Genomic DNA, 25,846 nt, shown 5'->3' on the forward strand with positions numbered 1-25,846 from the left:
TACCCTAAGTTTACACTAAAAATGTAAAGAAGCTGAGCACAGTGGCTCACATCTGTTATCCCAGCACTTTGAGAGGCCTAAGTGGAGGTTACTTGAGTCCAGGAGTTCAAGGCCAACCTGGGCAACATAATCAGACCCCATCTCTAAAAAAAAAGAAAAAGAAAAACTAGTTAAGACTTTACATCAAGGACTCAACAGTAAAGACTAAGAACTTTATACTAATGTAAGACTTTATACTAAAAAAAAGCTTGTTTGTTTGTAATGGGGTTTTTAGATGTTACTTTTGTTCTCAATTACTGAAACTTTCAGGCATAAATTTGGGTTTTATAAATATTAGCAATTACCATGGGAGGGTCTTAACAAAATCATTTTTAAATGAATCCTTTACAAATCATTTAAAAACTTTTCTGCGAGGATTCTTGATGCTTCTATTCTTCTTCTTCAAATCAAAAAAACATCTACTGTCACAGACTTCGAACCATGCAGTATTTGCTTTGTGGATTGTTAGATCATAGAGAGTGTTTTCTAGTTTGATCAGAGGGTAGGGGGATTGGATATGCCTGGGGAAACTGAAGTTGAAAATGTGAGCCAGGTTGGGAGTTGAGTAGCAGGGCAAGAGTTTGGACTGGTTTGAAATGGGACGTTTAACTGATAGAACTGGAGATTGTTTGGCCTATAGGATTGGAGGGATAAACTTATTTGACAGCTATCGGCTTGTGGAGGACAGAATTTGAAAATCCTTCCACTAAAAGCACCTAGAAATACTGGCTAAAATATAATATATTTTTATTATCTAATGTAGACACAGTTCAGAAATGAACCTGGAACTAAAACCACAGTGAGAAGCTTTGAGCAGTGATGCTCTGGCTTCCAGAGGACAGGTTGTTAGTCTCAGCAATCTAGGAATCTGCTGATCTTCAGTTACCTGGGGCATCTCTGTTAATACGAAAAAGAAGAGGGGAGATGAATGAAGCCTTGAGTCTTTCTCAAATGGGAAGTTGGAACCAAGGGGCCTACATAAAGTCAGCACTTTCAAAGTACTGCTCCCTATTAAGAGCAAAGACTAGAAACAAATCCACTCCAACAGAAAGACAACAAAGAGACAGGTAAGTCTTGTTCCTTCTGCCATTAGGTCAGAACCAGAGTTCCCAAAGCAATGTGTTCTCTATTATTTGACAATGAATTTCCTTCTCTTGCTTCCTATGCAGAAAACCAAAATCGAGACACAATATTTATCTGATATTAGTGCTCCACATTCCTCCAATATGTATCTCTCATTATGACCAGAATGACTTCCTCATAGCCAGTTAAGCAGACTGCTCTTCCTAGATATAAACTCTCTGGGATTAGAGGACAAGAGTTTGCTCAGTGTGCTAGCCCCCATTTCAGCATCTTTGTGCCTGAACATCTTGTCCTCTGGTGGCTTTGGATAGTCAGCTCACCACTTATTAGAAATATACATTCTGCTGAGGTGATTTATATACATTATCCTTTCTAATTTTTCAATAACCTTGAAAGGTAGGTATTATCAGCTCATTTTAAAGACATTAACACTTAGATTCAAAAAACACATTGCTAAAAGCTAGAAAGCAGTGGAGCTGGATTTAAATGTGGATCTATCAAACTTTTAAGCACATGGTTTTTCTACTATGAGCTATTAGCGCTTACATATTCTTTGCAGAATATAAAATCCAGCTCAAACCTTCTCATCTTCAATCAGAGGTATGCTGGAGCCAGCTTGTGGCAGCAAATGAGCATCTTTCCCAACTCCACTTTCAGTGACTTCACGTTGGTAACTTGTAATGAGCCACTGTAGAATTATTTACACCAGAAAAGTTGGCAAATGCTACAAATCAGGCTTTTCAGAGAGCCCGGTTGTTAAACACTTACCAGCACACCACTTGCTGCCTTTAAACTATACTGATCTCTCGTCTCTCTTAGTTCTTGGTTTGCGCATATTAGAATTAATTATATGATATTCTAAATTTTATATCAATAGATCTTAGTCATTCAGATAATATAGCATAGCAGTTAGCAAATACTTTAATCTCTTAGGTCCAAGACTCTATAAAATAGAATTGGGTTTTAAAAGGCTCTGAGAATTGGAGGCAATAAAGGTGCTAAATGTACCAGCAGGGGGAGCCCAATTTCCAAACATAAGCACTTTGCCTTCTTTTTTTGGAATACAGCAGAGATCAAAATGAAAAATATAGGATAACGTTTGTCAGAAACCCACACATTAGAAATAAATAGAAATGAATAGAATGCTTCAATAAAGTTATACTGGCAGAGCAAATATTACCTGATTCTGCATTGACCATGATACTGGAAATAAGGAAACACCCCGTTTTTTAAAAATTCTAGTAAACCAAAATCTCACAAATCACCACTAAAGAACTTATTCATGTAACCAAACATCCTCTATTCCCCAAAAGTCTATTAAAGTAAAATAAAAATAAATAAAAACTAAATAAATAAATCAGGATGTGTTTCACCAGGGCTAGAAGAAAGAAAAAAATTTGGTAGAAACATAAAATGAAGAACCCAGAACTCTGAAAGATCATACCACTCTTTCTAAAAAGCAAATCAGAAGCAAGTACTGTGCATTTGGTATTCTCTTACAGAGGCCTTTTAAAATATATAAGCTATGCAATTTTCAGAAAGCTGATTCAACATTCAAGATTCCTAAAATTCCCCCAAATAATATATAAATGAAATGCAACTGTAATCTAAAACTCAGTGGGAATTTTTAAAAGCTTGATGAGATTACTCTAAGTTTTATCTGAAAGAGTAAAGGAGCAGGAAGCCATTTAAACACTGAAAAATAAGAATAACTTCTACAAGAGGAAACTTGAACTTTCAGATTTTGCATCACATTACATACCATAATAATTAACACAATATGACATGTGCTAAAATATAACATCAAATAAATTGAATAGATTGTACAGATCTGTGAGTATTTAGAATTTGATTAACACGACATATCAAATTGGTGAAATAATTGTGAATTAGTTAGTAAATGGTGCTGGGATAATTACTCGGGGAGAAAAAGCTAATATTTCTCACCATGCTCTAAAATAAAGTGCAGATGGTCTAAAGATTTAAATGCAATATTGATATTTATATATGTGAAATATATTAAATGCAATATATTTATATGTGCTTGTGTGTGTGTAGTTTTCAGTGTTTTGTTCTATGCATAGAAATATACATTTATTTACAAAAACAAATACACATTTTATGCAAAGGGATTATATGTGATCAGCTTCATTTGTATAATTAAACCACCCCTATGTATCCACCATCCTGTTTCAACACGGACAATCTTGTTTCATCGACCCACACTCTCTTGAATTATTTTTGTTATTTTGATTCAAATATGAGATTTCAAATCATTTTATTCATAAATATTCCAGTATGAACATATAAAGGACAAGGACAATATTATTGGTGAACCCAAAATATTCATTGCAATTGCCTAATGTCATTAAACATCCAGTCAGCATTTCAGTTTCCCCAATTATATTATAAATGCTTTGTTACTATTTATTTGAAGCAGACTCAATTAAGTTCAAGGATATAGTCCCTTTGGCTTGCTCTTACTTATGTGCTCATGCTTGTACAAATCACAGCAACCCATGGGCACCACATACTGTGATTGGCCACACTTGGGTCATGTGCCCACTCCCATCATCATCAGATGGAGCGAATTTTTGTTACAGGAGAAATGGAGTGCTGGGTAAACACAAGCAATGGGCAACATGACCAACACATCCAACCCTACATCGTTATGCAGTGTTGCATTTTCTAATGGACTTCTCAGCCTGCCACTGTAACATAGAGTTAAGCATCTTACGTTGTCTCAAATTGACTGATTGCTAGAAATCAGCCGCCCTCAAAGATTCTCCCAGCTCTTTCTAGAGTTTTCAGGAGCTCTTCTCCTGTGTGTTCCAGAATGAGTTTCTCTGGTTCTCACTCCCCAGCCTCCTAATCTTGACCCCGGTGTTATTGCCTCTTGTGCGGTACCCTCACCTTATACCTATGAAGGTACCACACTATATGTATCTCTGAGAGCAGTCCTCATGGGTGACCACCTTTACCCTCCCACTGCCCTTGGAAACAGACATTGCTCTTTGAAACCGACCAGGCCCTCCCACTGCTAGGAGAAGTAGTGAGTCTTCTAGTCTTGGGTCTACTGCTTACTAGCTGGTGTGTCTGTGTTTCCACACATACTGCGTCATGGTCAACCCACCAGATGTATTTAGTTAATCCCTACTGGTCCCTCCAGTGCGGCCACCATGAATCGAGCTTTCTCTGAATGGGTCTTCTGTCACTGTAATCTCTCTTTCAACCTGTGAGAGCTGTTAAAATAGACCCCCTGCTGAGGGATGAAACGAACTCCCTGTGGCTAAAACAAGGCACTTCAGAGATGAAATCAAGTGGCCGTAGCAGAGAGGGGTTGGCCACAAAACCCTGTATTCCTGTCATAAGGTCTTGTTTCCTATAATTGAGCAGAAGCTAGCCCTTGCCTGCAAAACGCCTCTATGCCCTACAGTTCACCTTTTGATGGTAAAGAGCCCAATTCTGCCTCATTTTAATGTTAAAATTCTACCCTAAAATGAACAGAGAATGTATGTTACATGCATGCACACCCACTGCACATGCATTTGGGGTCTCCCTCATAAATATTTATAGATTTTCTCCAAATCTGCTAAATATGCGCCTAAGGCAGACCCCAAAGAACACAAACACCAGCTTTCCCTTTCCGCTCTTTGGTGTTTTCAGTTTCTCTGGAGGCTACGTTCTTTGATCTGCAGATCTGGTCTCTCAAAGTTTTCTTCTTTCCTTTCTCCATAGATGTCATGGTCCTTTGTTAACAAAGCGGTCTTCTTAGTCTACCTCATTTTACCAAGTGTTTCTATTTCTTCTCGTTTGCTTTCAACAGTCTCTATTGTAACGCAGCCTCAACTCCAGATTGACTTTATTTATGGAATGCTTCCTTTAATATTAATAGATGTAACAATTCACTCATTAAAGAGTCAGTGTTTCCTGAAAATATGGAAAAACTAGCAGGTATAAAATACTGAGTTATTTCATATAGAGTGAAAAAGAAGCTCAACAGCAAATTTCAGCGTTCATTTTAAGAATAAATTGTAATTTAGAATCTGATCAGAACCTAATGCAAACCTGAAAGCCTGCTTTGATTTCGATTTGGCTGCCTGTGTTAGCTGCTTAATAAAAGTCTGTAAATTTATCTTAAAGTTTACATTTCTAACACATTTATCTCTAGAAGAATCTAGTGAGATTTATAATATTCTGAATATTTGTTTCAATTTAACAGTATTTGAAGAGCTCATCATGAACTCTGATTCTCACAAAGGGATTCTGCCTCCTGCATTTTAGTTATTTGGTAAAATTGTTCAGCCTAGCTTTGTAGGGAAGAGAAAAATGTGTCTCTTGGGCCTCATAGCAGATGGCAGGCCACATGAGAAGGCAGATTCATTATTTCATTGGTGAAAAATCTGCCAAGAAAATTCCTTTTATCTCATGAAAGGCTCAACCTTCAGAACTGAGAGCATGCATTTGGAAGGTGTTATAAATACTTTATGTTACTTTGTTTTTGCTGTCAGTACATTTTGAATGCTGCCCTGGGCTCTAGAGTCAAACACTGGCCTAAAGTCTCAGCACCACTTAAAACTGCATGTGCATTAGAGCTCCTTAACATATCAACCTCATATATAAAATAGGACTCCTGATATAAGGGCTGATTGTTCTATTAATTGAGTTCAGTCATGCCAATTAAATAGCACATAGAATCTGGAAGGTGCTCAACAATACTAATTCCCTTCCTATAATCTCCAAGGAGTAGTTAAATCAGCATTCCCCAAAGCATGCTCGCTACCAGTTTTTAATAGTTACGGCAAAGAAACGTTTCTGTGATTAAATATATTTGGGCAAAACTGGCTTATACAAAGATAAATCGATCATAGACTTCCCTTGTGCTTTTGTTACCTACACAAGGGGTGGGCTCAGTCACTTGGTGGATACCAACCCAATGGCCACAACCAAAGAGGCTTTTGCAAAGGGAATGTATTACTTGTAACAAGCAAAGAGAACACCTTGAGGTAGTTTCCAAAGCAGTGTCTTCCTGAGCTGGGGGCTGGGTCACTTCTTATAAGCATAGGGTAATGAGGCATGATCTGACTGGATTTTGCAACAAGATGATTTTGGGAGGCATGATCTGACTGGATCCTGCCATGGGGTGATGCCAGAACTCAATCTGATTGGATCCTGTACCTTGCTATACCGTGTTCCTCCACTTCTTAATTCAGTCCCCTTAATTCAGAGCACTTAGGTTCACCCGGTTGGTGCAGGCTTGGCTCTTCCAGGCATGCTCAGCTTATGTGGCCTAAGGGTCCATGGCAACTGAAAAACAACTCCCAACTTTGTTACATAAAGGCTGAACAAGATTGGCTTGGAGCAGTTACATTTTCCTTTTCCTTTTTTAACTGCAGGGCATCTAGGAAACTTTTATGTGGATTTCTAAAGCACCATTACCCAGTCTTATTTGAATATGGAGTCCTTTCTTCCCGCAAAAGTAACAATCTGCAGGGCACATTTAGGGAAATAGTGGGTTACCCTCCATCGGAGCAATAAATCCTTCAACCATGGCTGCTTTTCTTGTATCTATACCCCACAGTTTTGTGATGGGACTGGTTCTCATATGTTTTAAAGAATTTTAAATGATTTTTAAAAGAAATGTTAATATATTTGAAGGAAAAAGACAATGGTTTGTTATAAACAATAGATATGTTTCTTCTGTTATTAAAACAGAGCCTAGATTTGGTACATAAGTATGTGATGTACTGACACATTTTCAGAGTTTCTAAAAATGTTAAAAACGGAATAATACTAAAAGGCTATTTCGCTTAATCCTTAGCAGGGCACAGCTACTTTCATTAAAATGTTTTCTGGCTCTTTTAGGCTAACAATCTGTGCACTTAGTACTCAGCAAAGTGGTTTACTTTCACCACCAAATCCGCAAAGCTTTCCTTTTTCTCTGACCTTGAAGACATGAGAACTTGGAGAAGAATCTGCTACACAGGTAAGGCATTCACCACTTTCACACTCTTCCAAATGAGCAGGAAAGAAGAAAACTTCAGCCTGTATGAGGAAAAGAGAGGGGAGGGAGACGGGAGAGTAGGGAGCCCGCCTCCATGGGCTGGGACTTGGGCAATTACTCCAAAGGACCTTGGCTTGATTTACGGTTTTGCTGTCACTTATTGAAATTCTGTTTTTTTGTTTGTTTGCTTTGTTTTGTTTTGTTTTTTGTTTTTGACAGAGTCTTGCTCTTTCGCCGAGGCTGGAGTGCAGTGGTGCCGTCTCGGCTCACTGCAACCTCCTCCCAGGTTCAAATGATTTTCCTGCCTCAGCCTCCCGAGTAGCTGGGACTACAGGTGCGTGCCACCACACCCAACTAATTTTTTTTTTAATAGTAGAGATGGGGTTTCGCCTTGTTGGCCAGGCTGGTCTCAAAAACTCCTGACTCAGGTGATCCACCTGCATCAGCCTCCCAAAGTGCTGGGATTACACGTGTGAGTCACCGCACCCAGCCTTGAAATTCTAAATAATTTTTCAACAAATGGTTCCATATTTTTATTTTGCACTGGGCTCCTCAAATTATGTAGCCGGTCCTATAAGGAGGGGGGAAACTTTGAAGAGAGGGCATGGCCTTTTCAGTGTTTGGCAGGTGTGAGTTGACAGCATTTAGCACTGACTGAGGAAGTAAGTGTCTGATCAGAGATCTCAGCCCTAATGCCACAGACAGGAAAAAAAAAATGATAGTGCTAAACTGGCATGGCAGGCGGAGAACAAATTGAAGTGATAAATACATATTTTGTGGCTGAGCCTTTCCAAACTGATAAAATATTTGATTTACTATCCCTCTTCTGAAATCCTAAGTAACTTACAGCATCCAAAAGAACAGCCTGGGGGTGGTTATGCTCCTAACAGAAACCCTCTATTTACACAGCCATCAATTTCCCCTAGGGAGGGTTGCCATGGTGAGGTCTGTCACACCCGACAATCACTTCTACACACCATTCATTTAGAAAGTAAGCAATTAAATTCTACCCTAAAAGGACATACAAAAGAGGGATCATTATAGCCATTTTGGATGACTCATTCATTGGGATTAAAAGGTTGAAAGCCTCTTCAGGTCAAAATCATAGCTCCACCACTTATTTCTCATTAAGAATCTTTTTGGGTACTGCATAATTTAAAACCTTAGGGCCACTGTTGCTACAGAGAAAAATTGCAGAACCTAAAAATATTCATGAATTTGACTTTTTAAAACTAGACTTTACAGGATGGACCCAAGAGAAGGGTATTTGTTTTCCAGTCAGTTTCATAAGAGTGGTGAATAAAAGGGAAGCGCTTTCAGATTGTGTCAAGGCAGAAGGCTGGATGAAGGGGATTGGAAAGCTGCTTCTGGGGAAGTGTGAAGAAAATCAAGAGAAGATCTGGTCATAGTGTTCAAAATAGGAGTGCTTCCCAGATGGAGAGGTCAGCAGTGACAAATGCATCACCTCCCAGCAATGTGGGGCATTGCACATACAGAACATTCCAGGTAGGCAAAGTGCAAAACTCCCAGAGTGAAATAGGGAGACCACAAAATGTTACAGGAAGTTCAAGTCAAGCACTGGAACACTGCAGGGATGGTGTTCCCTGGAGTTGTTCTGCAGTGGCCCTTAAATCAGAGAAATGAGAACTATCCCAGGAGAACGCACAGTGCAAGAAGAACATAGAGCTACTGACTCCGGGGAACAGATACCTTTAAGACAGTAAGAAAGATCTTTGAAGAAAGTCGAGGGATTGCTGGAGAGGTAGGAAAGGCAACCAGGAAAGGGTCTTGCTTAAAGGCCTGTGACTGTATTTAAAGAAGTGCTCAACTCTACTAAATGCTGCAGAACGGTCAAGTCAGAAAACAGCTGAAAGATACCTACCAGATGCACCAATTTAAAAACCGACACTGATGACGTTGGAAAACAAAATTTCAATGGAAGGGCTGGATTATTATAGTGGGTTAAGAAGTGACTGGAAGGTAAAGAAAAGGGGAAAGTGAATGTGGCCCAGCATTTCAAAAATCTGAGTTCTGAATGGGAGAAAAGAAAAAAGACATCATCTCCTAACCCACAGGGGCTGACTGAGCATCCTTAATAGGAGGGAATAGTCCTGAAGATCACAGAAGATGGGAACCCCGACTGCCTTATTCACTGTTACTTCCCCACTGGCGGGTCAGTACCTAGCACAGAAGCACTCACTGGATATTGTGTGAATGGATGACGCTGAGAATGTTTAGATTTTGATACTTTCAGAATGGAGTCTGCATAGAGTTGGCCTTATTACAAGTGGGGAGAAGGGATAGAGAGGGGGAGAAGAGATAAGGGTGGGGAGAGAAAGAGCCCCAGTGTAAACTGCAGTATTCAGCACAATTTGGCCAATACGTATGTGTTCCAAGCTGCTGGATAAGCCAGGGAATCCAGGCTGTTGAGGGAGGGTCAAGAAGTGTCTCAAACAGCAGCAGCACTAGTGGTCATGTGGGCATTAGCAGCACAGCTCTGAAAAGTCATTGGTAGGAACCAAGACAGAATAAAACTCCCGAAGGAATGGGGGATGCAAGATCTCAGCAGGTGACAGGCCACTAACACACTGCTTGAGAAGTAACACAGGACTCTTCTTCCCCGGAGGGTCATTTGGAGACATATGGAAGTTTAAAGTGGGATCCCACATTTAATGGAGCCCTGAGGATATCGTGGCAGGACTAAGCCTGTAGGATCAAAGTCTTTGTGCCTACAGCTGGGGAGCCTGGAGTAGAAACAATCGGTGGTTAGTCCTAGTTAGCTCAATTTAACAAACATTAATTGAATAGTTCCTATGTTACCAGGAGCCATGGAATCTACTGGACATATTAATGTATATAAAATACCATGTCTGTTCTCCAGACACTCAATATCTAGCATAGGAGACAGACTTATATGCAAATAAACACAACAGAAAGAAGTGATACATACAAAATAGAACCATGTTTAAGATAGCTAGAATAGAAGGATGTGAATTCTGACTGGGGGGATTGGAGGAGGCATCAGAGAGAGGGGCTCTTGAGCAGAATTTTTAATAAAAAGAAGTTAAGTTTTCCAGGCAGACAAAGGAGGAGATGTTCAAAGCACAGATGTCGTTATCTTGTGCAAAGGTATGGGAGCTTTGATTGTAATATATTCTACTGGACAAAAGTTGGATAATTAACGTGCTTTCCCAAAGCATATGACACAAAAACAGATCAGATCACTTTTAGCCTTTCAAGCTACCAATTATAAAGCCTTCTTTAGCACTACCTGTTCTGTAGTAGAAAGAAGACGTGGCTAGGGTAAGTGGGATGTCCTTGAACAGCACAGCGAGCTTGTAGCTCTAACAAATCCCTGGATCTCCTTTCTTCACCTATAAATAATAGGTAGGCTAGCTTATTCCTATTTAGTCCTAAATGTTCATATTTCTTCTTCCCCCTTTAAAACATTGTTAAGGACTTTTTAGAAAGGTCATCTCTCTGCTGTGTTCTCACAACTAGACATCCCAATCACTGCATCACTGTTACCAAGCAGCAAGGCCTCTTTCCAGCGATGTTAGCCAGGGGAGGTTCGGCTGATCACCCAGGTCCAGGGCAGCACATTCGTTCCCTACTCTTTTTTTTTTTTTTAATTAGTCCCTGTTTCACTGGTGTCTTCCAGACTTCCTTTTCTCTCCCATTTGCTCGGTTCAGCTTTGTTGTTTCAAATAAATCTCCATGGAAGGAAAAATACAGTGATCCTTTAAATCCACGGACTCTTCTAAGCTGAAAGCCCTCCAGATGGCTCATTCTTGCCTCTCTGCTTAATTTCCCCCATCCATCTGAGAAGATGTCTCTTAATCATTCCTACTGCATCTTGATGTCTCTTTTAATCAATGGCTTTTTAAAAGATAAATTACTTTTCAATAATTGTTACTAGGCACTTTGCAAGTTCCTTCACATTTACAAATTACTTTTCAATAATTGTTAATAGACACTTTGCAAGTTCCTTCACATCTTTAGCTTGGGAGAGAAATTTTCTTAGTGGAGCATTTGGACTAGAACAGCCAAACAAATATAATTTTAACTGGTTTTATGACACGACCCTAGAATAATAAAGGTCACTAAGCTATTAGTGAATTTTCATTTACTTTTTGAATATTGTATTGTTCCTGACAGCCAAAAATTTGCTTTGTATCTGCTATTGATTATATTTTGCTTCCTGAACATGTTATGCATAAGGTTACTTTATTTCTAAGTGTGTATCCTTTTTCTCTACTTACTCATTTAATTTTAACTTAACTTCTTATTTCTGTTCTTAAATACATTCCATTGGTAGACATTATCGTTTGAAAACTCCTTTTGGCAATCTCTTTCAAATGGGAGTCTTTGATATGGTCAGTGCTCTGGCTTTTCAGGGAGGGCTCTGTGAAATGAACCTGCACATCTTTGCAACTTCTGAGATTTTCCCCTCCACTCACTAGCTGATGTTCTGAGCCCTTTCCTGGTTTGGTTGGACTGAAAGGTTCCCATGTGTGGCTTTCAGCCATTCCCTAATGCTATTTGATGTTGGTGAATAGTCCAGGTTATAAAGTATTTTGCAAGCTCTCCTTGCGTGGGCACCCTCCTCCCATTTAATTAGCCAGTGGGAAGAAGAGAGGAAAGTATCTCTGGAGAGCAGTCTCCAGATGCCGAGAGCTAATAAATCACTTTCTGCAACACCACGTTTTCTTCTTTACTCAGAATTATTCTTCAATATGTGATTCCAAGCAAGATTTGATTCCTATTTTGCTTTTGTTCTGTAATGCAACTATAGCTGCTTGTCTTTTAGATTTTTCAGTTGCCTGCCTTTCCTGAATTGTCTTCTTCACATGATACAACCTATGCAATCCAATTTTACTGAAACTATGTAAAATGATTGTGCCTTGAAGAAAAAACTGCATTTCTACTAGAGCATAGCCATCAGGACTTCAGGTTCTGAGACTCACTTAAATGCCTCTCAAGGATACAGGAGTGAGATGCACCAAGAGGCAATTTGCTCCATCCCTCTTAGGTAGGTTTGGTTAGAAAGGGTGAGCAAATTCCGTGGCTGCTTTACTAATCTTGGAAAGACAGTGTTGTAATAGAGGAACATGTCTCAGAGAGACATGTGTATCCATTACCTTTCAGAGCCATGGCAAAATCAACTCAATTTGGAGATAGTGTCTTTTGTGTCCATTTAAAACAATTTTGAAATTCAATTCATTTTAAATTTATGGACCACAATGGAGTTTTTTACTATATCTGTTAAAATATGGAAACTTTAGCTCATTTCGATAGCATATGCTATATATACACAAATGGAATTTAAGAATGCATTTCATTTTGGGGGGGATACATGAGAACTTAAAAGGCAATGCCATTTAAATTGTGCCCCATTTTTCTCTCAAGCATGGGAGTACTGGGCTGTGAAGTTACCTCCCCATATATGGATAGTAAGACGTTTTTCGACAACCTACAGGATGGGAGAAAATTTTTGCAATCTAGCCATCTGACAAAGGTCTAATATTCAGAATCTACAAGGAATTTAAACAAATTTACAAGAAAAATCAAACAACCTCATTCAAAAATGGGGAAAGGACATGCACAGATGCTTCTCAAGACATTCGTGCAGCCAACACACATATGAAAAAAGCTCAGTATCACTGTTCATTAGAGAAATGCAAATCAAAACCACAATGAGATGCCATCTCACACCAATTAGATTGGCTATTACTACAAAGTAAAAAAAACAAAAACAAAAACAAAAAAACCAACACATGCTGGTGAGGTTATGGAGAAAAAAGAAATGTTTTTACAATGTTGCTGGGAGTATAAATTAGTTCAACCATTGTGGAAGACAGTGTGGTGATTTCTTGAAGACCTAGAGGCAGAAATGCCATTTGACCCAGCAATCCCATAACTGAGTATACACCCAAAGGAATAGAAATCATTCTATTATAAAGATACGTGTACACATATGTTCAGTGCAGTACTGTTTACAATAGCAAAATCATGGAATCAACCTAAACGCCTATCAGTGATAGACTGGATAAAGAAAATGTGGTGCATATACACAATGGGTTACTATGCAGGCATAAAAAGGAACAAGACTGGCCGGGAGCAGTGGCTCACACCTGTAATCCCAGCACTTTGGGAGGCCGAGGCGGGTGGATCACTTGAGGTCAGGAGTTCGAGACCAACCTGGTTAACATGGTGAAACCCCGTCTCTACTAAAAATACACAAATTAGCCGGGCATGGTGTTGGGTGCCTGTAATCCCAGCTAGTTGGGAGGCTGAGGCAGGAGAATCGCTTGAACCTGGGAGGCGGGGGTTACAGTGAGCCGAGATTGTGCCACTGCACTCCAGCCTGGGCGACAAGCGTGAGACTCTGTCTCAAAAAATAATAATAATAAATAAATAACAAGGAACAAGATCATGTTCTTTGCAGGAACATGGATGGAGCTGGAAGCCATTATCCTCAGCAAGCTAACACAGGAAAAGAAAACCAAACACTGTATGTTCTCACTTATAAGTGGGAGCTGATTGATGAGAACACATGGACACGTAGAGGTGAACAACACACACTGGACAGCTGTGCAGAGCGTTAGGGGAGGGAGAGAATCAGGAGGAATCGCTAATGGATGCTGGGCTTAATATCTAGGTGATGGGATGATCTGTGCAGTAAACCACCAAGGCACACATTAACCTATGTAACAAACCTGCATATCCTGCACAAGTACCCCTGAACTTAAAATAAAAGTTGAAAAACAGAAAAAAAAAAAACCAAAAGAATGACTGTCTTTCTTTGAGAAGCAGTGTGATGTTGTATAGAGAGCCCAGGCTTTGGGAGTCAGACAGAACTGTCATTGAATCCTGGCTCCAGGCTGGCTGTGTAATCCTGAGCACATTGCTTAGGCTCTCTGAATCTGTTTCTTCATAGTCACATTCCTCATGGTCAGTGTGAGAACTGGTAAAGTTAGTATCTATAAAATGCTGAGCATAGAGCCTGGAGGAGAGAGAACCCTTGGTCCTAATCATGCCATACATCAGACAGAGGGGAGCTTTTAAAACGACACCTCTTCATGTCCCGGGAGTGGAGAGTCTCTGAGAAGTAAAAACCACTCTCTTTCAGATTAATGGGGAGTAATCCACCAAATTAGTGAAAATAGAAATAATCAGTTCATCTTAATTTTATAATTTTCAATTACAGAAACTAATTAGGAAGTATTATCCACCTTTTATTGTGTCTCCATTGACAATTTGTTTGTAGACCTTTTTAGCTTTCACTTCTGTGCATTTCCTCTGTCAGGGGCCCTAACACTAGAACACAGTATTCCTTCTCCAAGGTCTTGAACCAGATGACTTCTGAGCATGGTGAGTGAACCTCTCCGATCTGTATCCTAGCCTTCCAGGGACACTCGGTTGTAAGTCTCACAAAATCAAGAAAGGGCCTGGGGCTCAAGGTAAAAATCTGGAAACACTGGAGGCAAATGAAGCCAGAAAGATGGTGAAGTTTTCCGAAGAGATCATAAAAAGAAAGAAAGAGAACTTGGACATAAACCTGAAAAATGTCAGGCTTTAAGAGGAAAAAAGAATAATAGGAGTCCATAAAGAAGACTGAGATGAAACAGAAAGGTAGGAGGAAGTCGCAATCCCAGAAGTCAAGATAAAAGGAAGCCTCTTTTTTAAAGAAAATTAAAATTGAATGTATATTTCTGCTGAGATGATTATGGCATTTCTGTAAATATATTATGAGGAGAGGGTAATCTTTAAAGTTTTTAATCAGGGTAATAATTAAGATCCAGCAATAATGACTGACGTTTGCAAAATATCAAAAACATGTGCATTTTTGTATATAGTATCTGCTACTCAGAGTAAAAAAGCAATAGACATTTTCACATTTCCTCCAGTTAATATCTTTGAAAACCTGTGAAAGTTTTCTCAAAATGTCAGCAGCCTATGAGTTTCACAATCAACATAACAGAGAGCATTTATTCCAAGATTCTTGTTTCCTTCCAGCACTTTGGCAAAATCAGGAACAATGTATTCCCCATAAAATTGATATCTATCACTTATTCCATCCAATTTGAGACCAGCCTGGCCAACATGATGAAACCCCGTCTCTACTAAAAATACAAAAAATTAGCCGGGTGTGGTGGCGGGTGCCTGTAGTCCCAGCTACTTGGGAGGCTGAGGCAAGAGAATCGCTTGAACCTGGGAGGCGGAAGTTGCAGTGAGCCGAGATTGCGCCACTGAACTCCAGCCTGGGAGACAAAAGCGAAACTCTGTCTCAAAAACACCACCAACAATAAAAAAAGCAAAAATGAAAAGAAACAACTATAGTTGTGCATGTCAGGAAGGCTCTACTGTCTATCAATTGAAGTTTTTTTGCATTTACTGAAGTTAAAATAAACGAGGAGTTTTTAACAAAATACTCAGTGGTATGAGAAGGAAAAGAGCAAAAAGTCAGTTCTCTTTTCTTCCTGCCCTACTTTCTATCAGTCACTCAGTAACTGTTTAACGGTGCTAGGCTGGGAGCAGTGGCTCATGCCTGTAATCCCAGCACCTTGGGAGGCCAAGGTGGGAGGATCACTTGAGGCCAGGAGTAAAGACCAGCCTGGGCAACATAGTGAGATTCCATCTCTATAAAAAATGTTTTAAAATATATTAGCTGGGCATGGTGGCACATGCCTATAATCCCAGCTACTGGGGAGGCTGAGGTGGGAGGATCACTTGAGCCCAGGATTTCCAGGCTGCAGTGACCTATGATTGCACCACTGCACTCCAGCCTGAGGAACAGAGCAAGACTTTGTCCTCAAAAATAGAAAAGAAAATAAAAAGAATGTCCCTTCGTGTCACTCACTGAGCTGGAGATATAAATGAATAAGGTAAGGTATGACTTTCAAGAAGAAGAAGACACGAAGAGAGAAAACCTCCATTTACTGAGGATGTCATGTGTGCCAGGTACCCTCCTAGGCCCTTTACATGCCATAGCAGATCCAGGATTTGGGGAATCAAAAACGTACACAATTTGGGGATCTTCTTTAAGAGAAAGAATATAAAATTTTAAAAAGAAAATTAGGTGCAGGGTCTTAGACAAGCCCTGAATCAGACCACTCTTTTGTGTATAAAACTCGGAAAATCTTCCTTTCACACTTTAAAATCCAAACTCTCTCCCTTGGCTTTGAAAATTCTACATGATTTGGCCTCTTGTAGAAGTCTCTTTGGAGACTCCATATTAAATAAAAGAGTGTATGTTCACCCATTGGAAGTGTCAACCAAATTGATGTTTAACTGACACAGATAGGGAGGCAATCACTAGATCAATGGTTCCCCAAATTCCATTTACCAAAGACTCTTTGGAGTACTCCTTCATCAAAGGAAATCCCAGAACCAGCACCCGTCTCCAGTTACGCTGAATCCAAGCGGCTGTGGGTGTGGCCTCATGAATCTGCATTTTAACTGGGAGCACTGCATGAAAACCTGATGCAGAGAGATAAAGTTTATGATTACAACTCTAAGTCCAGATACAAGATTCAGTGATTTCAAAATCACTAACAGTAGAACTTGGTTTATATTAATTATAAATGGAAAGATGAAACAGTAGACATGGGCCCTAAGACCCTTACCAACTTCAGTCCCAGATTCAGAGGTAACTAAGCTGGGTGTCATTTTTTAAAGTGTCTCAGGTGACACCCAATATACTTCAAGAAGTTTGTGTAGGAAAGAATCCTAACATAAGAACAAGGTCCTCACTATTACCCAGAGTATTATACTGCAGCATCAGTCTCTCAGCAATGAGGCTTGGAGGGTTTTTTGTTTGTTTGTTTTTGGGGGGATGTTTTTTTTTGAGCCGGAGTCTTGCTCTGTCACCCAGGCTGGAGTGCAGTGGCGCGATCTTGGCTCACTGCAACCTCCACCTCCCAGGTTCAAGCAATTCTCCTGCCTCAGTGTCCCGAGTAGCTGGGATTACAGGCACGTGCCACCATGCCCTGCTAATTTTTGTATTTTTAGTGGAGACAGGGTTTCATCATGTTGGCCAGGATGGCCTCAATCTCCTGACCTCGTGATCCACCTGTCTCGGCTTCCCAAATGCTGGGATTACAGGCGTGAGACACCGCTCCAGGCATGGGGGGATTTTTTTGAGACAGAGTCTCACTCTGTTGCCCAGGCTGGAGTGCAGTGGCATGATCATGGCTCACTGCATCCTCAATCTCCCAGGCTCAAGTGATGTTCCCACCTCAGCCTCCTGAGTAACTGGGGCCACAGGCACACACCACCACACCTGGCTATTGCTTGTATTTTTTGTAGAGACAAGGTCTTGCTATGTCACCCGGGCTGGTCTCAAACTCTTGGGCTCAAGTGATCCTCCCAAAGTGCTGGGAATACAGGTGTGAGCCATTGTGAGAAGTCAGGTTTTTGTTTTTCTTATTTCTGCTTTTATTTTAGATTCAGAGAGCATATGTGCAGGATTTTTACCTGAGTATATTACATTAATGCTGAGATTTGGGCTTCTACTGATCCCATCACCCAGATAGTAAACATAGTACCCAACAGGAAGATTTTCAGCCCTTGCTTCCTTCCCTTCTTTTAGAGTCCCCTGTGTTCATTGTTCTCATCTTTATGTGTATGTGTACTTAAGATTTAGCTCCTAATTACAAGTGAGAACATGCTGTATTTGGTTTTCTGTTTCTGTGTTAATTCATTTAGGATAATGGCCTGCAGCTGCATCTGTGTTGCTGCAAGGAACATCATTTCATTCTTTTTTATGGCTGCATAGTATTCCATGGTGTATATGTACCACATTTTCTTTATCCAGTCCACCATTGATGGGCACCTGGGTTGATTCCATGTCTTTGCTATTGTGAATAGCACTGTCATGAACATACAAGTGCATGTGTCATTTTGGTAGGGCTATTTATTTTCCTTTGGGTACCCAGTAATGGGATTTCTGGGTCGAGTGGTAGTTCTATTTTCAGTTCTTTTGCGAAATCTCCAAACTGCTTTTCACAGTGGCTGAACTAATTTACATTCCCACCAACACTGTATAAGTGTTCCTTTTTCTTAGCACCCTCGCCAACATTTGTTAGTTTTTGACTTTTTAATAATAGACTTGGAAGCTTTTAAGTTTCCACTGGACACTGGAAAAGGGTAAGGCAGAGAAACATCTCACTAGAAAGAAGTGGTGAAAAAGAAGTGAAGACAGTATTTTTATTTAGGAGGGGGAGTCTTGTTTCATGCCAACAATTAGACTTTACTCACGTATTCTGTCTGCGCTTCCCACATACACTCAAATGCATCTCAACAAACCCTTCTCTTCAGTAAGTAGAATATTTTTCTCTTATTGAGAATGGCAAGTTCCACTTAAACCAAAACAGACGGCATAAAGAACACCAACACCAAGACAGATGGTTATAAAAAACAATGAAAATATTGGAACAAATATTATCAATTTTTTTAGGTACAGATAAGAGCTTGATGAATCCCACATATATTTATCAGCACCAACAACCACTGTCCAAAGGAAAAGTCTTTTCAGCTCTCCCAACACTCACTCCTGTTACACAGAAGCAAATATAAATATGAGAAAAAACAACTACAATCATCAAACATTTTGGAAAAATCAGTATCATGAAAGAATGGCACCAAACTCAGAAGAGCTGACAACTGTGGAAATAAAGATCATACAGGAAACAGAACCATTAACAAACTCAGCCTTTCAAGAAACTATTATAACCACAGGACAACAATGTCAGCCCCAACAAGGAAAACAATTCAAACCAATACAGAAAATGTTTAAAAGTAGGGAAATGTTTGAGCTTTAAATTTATGAATTAGGTGGTTTTCTACTTCACCTATGTGTGGGTAAAGATGTCTTATCTCTTGTGTTCTATAACAGTTTTAGAGACCTAGTGAATCAGAACAAATGTCAGGAGTTGTACACTAAAATATTAATAAGTATAAGCTCAGTTAAACGTGAGTCTTACCTTTTCCACTCACACTGGGCACCTGAATCTTGACAATTTATCTGTGGAAACATCACAATATCTGCTGGTGAGCTGAGCACAGTGCCTTACACCTGTAATCCCAGCAACTTGGGAGGCTAAGGAAGGAAGATTGGTTGAGGCCAGAAATTCGAGGCCAGCCTGGGCAACCCTGTTTCTACAGAAATTTTTTAAAAAATAAGCTAGGTGTGGTCGTACATGCCTCTATTCCTAGCTACTTGGGAGGCTGAGGCAGGAGGATCACTTAAGCCCAGGAGTTCGAGGTTACAGTGAGTTATGATTGTGCCACCACACTCTAGCCTGGTTGACAGCACAAGACCCTGTCTCTTAAAAGAAAAGAGAAGAAAAAAGATATCTGCTGGTAACAATGTCTACAGAACTGGGATTTTAATTTGGGGGTCTTAAAAGACAACATCAGAAGTTAGGGCAATAGACTTATAGTTGGTAAAGACACGTTTTGAACAAAGTAATTAGAACAAAATTATACAGTTTCCACTTGATCCTGTATGTCTCACGTGGAATCAGGGATTTCAGGCACCAGTATTTATAATAGCTTACTACCCCAGATCTAGGCAGTATTAGACCATAAGAAGATTTGCACTGTTTCAATTCACAATGGAGAAAGGATTGTAATTTCCTTGCAAATGTCTCTTTCTTCCCCCTGTACCATACCCCTGTATCTCTTAAGACAACACACACACACACACACACACACACACACACATTCTCTCCCTCTCTCACTCCCTACTTTTTTCCTTCCCACTGAGAGATTCAAACCTTCAAAAAGTCCCAAATTCCTTCCCATTTAATAAAAATGTCCTCCAAATTTAAAATTACTGAGATATAATCTTGAAATATTTTTTGCTCCAGTGCAACAAATAAATAAGTGTAACATTTTGGGAAAGAATTAAAAAAACAAAAATAAGCTGGGAGGATTGACAAGTCTAGCACATTATGATTGAAAGAATTAGGAGGTTTTTGTCAAATGCATAAGGCACAATTTCTTTGGCTCAGATTGTTCTGTCTATATTTCTTCATTTTTCTTATGTAAATACATATAAATTAGTTTTCAGAATTGCTCTGGTGAGGATGGTGTTCAAGTATTAGTTGTAAAGTTTCAGGAAAAGCAGGAAAAAAAAACCTAGTGGAAACCTAGACCTCCTTGGAATCCAACCCAGCATACACACGCACTTTTTGTGAGCTGAGGGAGAGCAGCTCACCAGCACTCCATTTCATATCCATCCTAATTATTGCACAAAATCTCCTAAGGAGATCTAATTGTTAAAAATATAGCATTAGAATGCTTCTTGCTATTTGAACTTTGGTTCTGCTCCAACTAGAACAGAATGAAATGTACTGAAGAACAGGAGGGAACATTGCAACACAGAATGGATCACTGCAAATCCAACCTTTATTAGAATGCTAAAGCTAAAGCACAGATGATTAAATTTTCTGTACCTTTGCCACCTAAGTCAGGCTTCTAGAGCTTTCCCACAGCTATAAGGTATCTTTCTGGTCTGAGGTCTTCTTGTAAGCATACACCCTCAGCAGTCTCTTAGCTACTTTATTATTCATCAGTGGTCTGTTGACATTGAGCCCAGGGCAGACATGAATTTTGCAAAGCAGACACTAAAGGAAACTGATATGGTTTGGCTGTGTCCCTACCCAAATCTCATCTTGAATTGTAGCTCCCATAATCTCCACCTGTCATAGGTGGGACCTGGTGGGAGGTAATTGAATCATGAGGGTGGATTTTTCTTGTGCTTTTCTCAAGATAGTCAATAAGTCTCATGAGATCTGATGGTTTTATAAAGGGGAGTTCTCCTGCACACGCGCACTTGCCTGCTGCCATGTCAGACATGCCTTTGCTCCTCTTTCATCTTCCACCATGACTGTGAGGCATCCCCAACCATGTGGAACTGTGAGTCCGTTAAACTTCTTTTTCTTTATAAATTACCCAGTCTCAGGTATTTCTTCATGGCAGTATGAAAATGGACTAATACAGAGTCTTCCAGATCACTGCCTTCCACCTCCATATTCTCACAGCTGTGAGAGTATTCCTGTAGAGTTACTCTCTGCTGACTGGTTGGATTGTGCTAGTGATAAGATAGCTAAGAAAACATTTTTGGAAAACAGAACAACAGTGATGAGAACAGGAAAAGAACACAGAGGAAGAGCAGACATGAAGGAGAAGCACTGAGGCTGGTCCTCTTTCGGAAGTGGCTGTATGGCTAGGGAAAGCTTCTGGAGTCACTCTCCATCCTAAGTGGAACGGACCTTCTCAATCTGCAGCTCACTGCTTTCTTTAGCCCCTTCTAGCAAAGCACCTGTAATCCTTTGCTTGCATGTATTGTTCACATGTGAACAAAAATTTTCATAAATAAGGCATTAGAAAATGAATTAACAAGAAGAAAAATGTACTTAATATTCTTGCCCTGAGGGTTTTTCCATAATAATCATGGGAAACTGGAAAAGGTCCACACTCAGAAAATACATATTCTTGGTATTGTGAATTCTCATCACTGGATGTCGAAGGAAGATTCTCAGCTCTAAGATTTTAAATAGAATGTCAACTATTTCACCGATTTTCTCTGACTCTAATGAGGCACATTAACCTTTAGTGTGTTTCTATTTGTAGTTAGAACTTCATTGGAGAGAGAAGTCTTTTGTATGTAATTACAGAGTAAATTCCCATTTATACATAGAAGCCATGTAGAAAGACTAATTTGAATTTTGGGGTGCTACTGAATAAGGGCATGCTACTACCTAAGACCCCAATGTTTATGAACTTTTTAGAGCCTTAAAAATTAGAAAAGTTAGGTTCAGTAATTATGTTTTTTGTTTGTGGGTTTTTTTTTTTTTTTTTTTCTGAGATGGAGTCTCACTCTGTTGCCCAGGCTGGAGTGCAGTGGCATGATCTTGGCTCACTGCAACTTCTGCCTCCCAGGTTTAAGTGATTCTCCCACCTCAGTCTCCCAAGTAGCTGGGATTACAGACACATGCCACCATGCCTAGCTAATGTTTGTATTTTTAGTAGAGACAGGGTTTTGCCATGTTGGCCAGGCTGCTCTCAAACTCCTGACCTCAAGCGATCCGCCTGCCTCAGCGTCCCAAAGTGCTGGGATTACAGGTGTGAGCCACTGCACCTGGCCTAGTAATTATGTTTTAATATGCCTAATCAGTTGAAATCTCATATATATATATATATGTATAGATATGTAATTGTATGATAATCTGATTAATGAGAATGGGAAAATGCAAGCACATTCCTTTGTTTGGAATAATGATTCTCCATGTATTTTTTTATTTTAAAAAATGGGCACGTAATTAATCATTAAAGACAAATTCAACAATAGTTCAGTCATTATAAGCCATCTATTGTGTTTGTGGTCTGTCCAATTAGAGCAAGTTTCAAATGCTCTAACTGAAATATTTCAGTTGTGTGTGTTCTTCCCTTGGGACCAATGCCTTTGTGTGTGTATGTGTGTGTGTGACAGTGTGAGTGTGTTGTGTGGTGATAAAAAGTGGGTCAAGGGGAGAGATCAGTGGTCTCAACTGGGCATCGAGGCAGAGGGAGGAGCAGGGATTTGCTCCAAAGCTTTTAAGTGAATTGATTCCTTATCTTACACTCCTTTGTTTAGAATTTTTTAATATTACTGAACCTTTGAAACACAGTAGAGCATAAACATTTATTTAATATATACTTAACAATATATACATTATATTTATTTAATATACAATTTCTGAGTACTCCTCTAAAGTTAAAACTCCTTGTCAATTGAGTTTAAAATTCAGTACTCCCATGTAGGTATTTTGGTGTTTTGTGGGGAGGAAAGCTATTTATTTACAAGCTATTTATTTACAGATGTTCTATAACAATGTAGTACAGCAATGGCTCTCAAAGTGGGAATTTTTATTTATTTACTTATTTTTTTGACACGTATTCTTCCTCTGTCACCCAGGCTGGAGTGCAGTGGTACAATCTTGGCTCACTGCAACCTCCGCCTCCCAGGTTCTACTGCCTCAGCCTCCTGAGTAGCTGGGGCTACAGGTGTGTGCCACCATGCCCAGTTAATTTTTGTATTTTTAGTAGAGACGACGTTTTATCACGTTGGCCAGGCTGGTCTCAAACTCCTGACCTCAAGTGATCACCTTCCTCGGCCTCCCAGTGTGCTAGGATTACAGTCAAAGTGGGAATTTACATATGTATTTGTGGAAGATTGAAGGTTATATGAGAAATGTTAAAACTTTTGTTTCCATTTCATGATGGTTTTTTGTTTGGGGAGGCAAAAGATTATTTAACAGGACATGGAATGTACTATCTATACAAGAAACTATTGATAAATCTAAACTTCATGAAGGTTAAGAACTTATTTTTAACGACGAAAAGACACCATTCAAAGAGTAAAAAGAGATACTGAAGACTAGGAGAAGATAGTCACAGCATATATACCTGTTAAAAAAACTCATGTTTGGGATAGAAATCCGATAGTTTAATAAGAAAAAGCCAATCCAGGCTGGGCATGGTGGCTCACGCCTGTAATCCCAGCACTTTGGGAGGCCGAGGCAGGTGGATCCCTTGAGGTCAGGAGTTTGAGGCCAGCCTGACCAACATGAAGAAACCCCATCTCTACTAAAAATACAAAAAAAATTAACCGGGCATGGTGGTGCGTGCCGGTAATTCCAGCGACTTGGGAGGCTGAGACTCGAGAATTGCTTGAACCCAGGATGGGGAGGTTGCAGTGAGCTGAGATCATGCCACTGTACTCCAGGCTGGGTGACAGAGTGAGACTGTCAAAAAAAAGAGAAAGAAAGGAAAGAAAGGAAAGAGAGAAAGAGAGAAAGAGACAGAGGGGAAGGGAGGGAGGGAAGGAAGGAAGGAAGGAAGGAAGGAAGGAAGGAAGGAAGGAAGGAAGGAAGGAAGGAAGGAAGGGAGGGACACAATGCAACTTTCAAAAACGGGCAAAAGACTTAAACAGGCCTTAGGCACTTCACTAGAAGATATCCAAATGACCAACAAGCATATGAAAAGAATCTCAACAAAATTAATCATCAGGGAAATGCAAATTTAACCACAATATATTATACACTCTCCAGAATGGCTAAAATGTTCGAAAAGCTGACAATACCCAGTCTCTCATACCTTGCTGGCATGAATTTAAATGGTTACAGTTCAGAAAGCTATTTAGCAAAATATCTATTAAGGTTCCATATAGGCCTATCCTATGCCCCAGCAGTTCCACTCCTATTTATTCTAGAGAAATGAGTGCGTATGTCTACCCAATTAATATGTAAGACTTATTCATAATAGTCTAACACTGGAAATCTGTCCATCCCTAGAAATAAATAAGTTTTGGTATATTCATAAATAGCATCTAATAACACATCTATGAAAAAGAACAAACCATATGCAACATGGTTCCATCTCAGAGACATGGTATTGAGGGAAGACAGCCAGGCCCAAAAGAGTATAACTTATATCATTCCACTTACATAGAGTTCAAAAATAGGCAAAATGAACTGACAGCAATAGAAATCAAAACAGCAGTAACCTCTGCAGGGTTGAGTATGAATTGGGAGAGGGTATGGCGGGTGACTTCTAAGGTTCTACAAATGTATTATATTTTGATCTGAATGTTAGTTATGTCAATATATACATTTGTAAAAACTAATCGAGTAGTGCATTTAAGATTTGTGCAGGTGTGTACATTAAAACTAAATAAAATTGCTTTTTAAAGCAAAGATAGAAAATAAAAGCATCAATTAAATTTGAGAAATTGTTCTATAACAAATACTCTGTCAAAAAAAGAAAGAAAGAAGAAGAAAGAAAGAAAGGAGAGAGAAGGAAGGAAGGAAGGAAAGAAGGAAGGAAGGAAGGACAAAAGAGGACAATCTAACTTTCAAAAATGGGCAAAAGATTTAAACTTAAAGTTAAGTTTGAGAAACTGTAACAAATATGAGACCTATACACTCATGCATAAGAGAAGAAAAGCACTAATATTGAAGATAAAATTATTTCAAAAGAAGAACTAGAAATGCATAACATTAAATATACATCATCTTAAATAGAAAATTAGTTGGTATTATAAATATTCACTATCTGGTAGAATATATTTAACATATTTAAATAACATTCCTTTCTTAGAAGGATAAATTCTCTTACAATTATCAATGCAGTCAGTTGTATTTGCATAACTTGACTTTAGCGCAGAGCCCAATTCCATCACGCTATTTTTACATAAATCTGCATCTCTTCCTGCATCATTTTCACTTAATTAATTAACATCTAATTTATAAGCATCTCAACATTTGAAGCATTCTTATAAATAGGGCAAACTAAAATAGATACAAATGTATTTAAACATCTTGCCCATACTTCTCTGAATAAATGGCCCTTTTCTGTTCTATTTAATAATTTCAAAATCTCTTCCCCTGTGAAGCCTTCTTGAGCTGCTTAATTACAAGTAATCCTTCCATTCTTCATGTTCTTATAACATTTTGTTCTAACATCTACGCTATCACCTGTGTCTCTATAAATAATAATTTCTAAGCTGTGAGTTATTTGGGGACAGAAAACAAATTTTATTGATCTTTGAACACTTTTTGCCTTGTACAGGGTAGGCATTCAGCAGATATTTGTTGAATGACTGAATGCATTAATAGACAATTCTCTTTAGAAACTCTACCCGGGAGGCAGAGGCTGCAGTGAGCCGAG

The 25,846-nt window shown here is 39.3% G+C and overlaps 1 long non-coding RNA gene across 1 annotated transcript, besides 1 other annotated feature; it reads left to right on the plus strand.

Moving 5' to 3' along the window:
- The first annotated feature begins 575 nt into the window (after positions 1-575).
- LOC105379289 (uncharacterized) lies at positions 576-25,846 on the plus strand. The gene is made up of 3 exons (XR_949509.3): positions 576-1,106; positions 6,988-7,108; positions 25,809-25,846. It is a non-coding gene; the product is annotated as an uncharacterized LOC105379289 (long non-coding RNA).
- Positions 4,039-4,680: an enhancer, noted in NCBI's record as "NANOG hESC enhancer chr8:12726438-12727079 (GRCh37/hg19 assembly coordinates)". NCBI's record gives its function as "activates a minimal SCP1, AML or CMV promoter by ChIP-STARR-seq in naive H9 embryonic stem cells {active_cell/tissue: H9 hESC(naive)}" and the evidence as "EXISTENCE:reporter gene assay evidence [ECO:0000049][PMID:30033119]".

This window comes from Homo sapiens, chromosome 8, assembly GCF_000001405.40.
Source record: "Homo sapiens chromosome 8, GRCh38.p14 Primary Assembly".
NCBI lineage: Eukaryota > Metazoa > Chordata > Mammalia > Primates > Hominidae > Homo > Homo sapiens.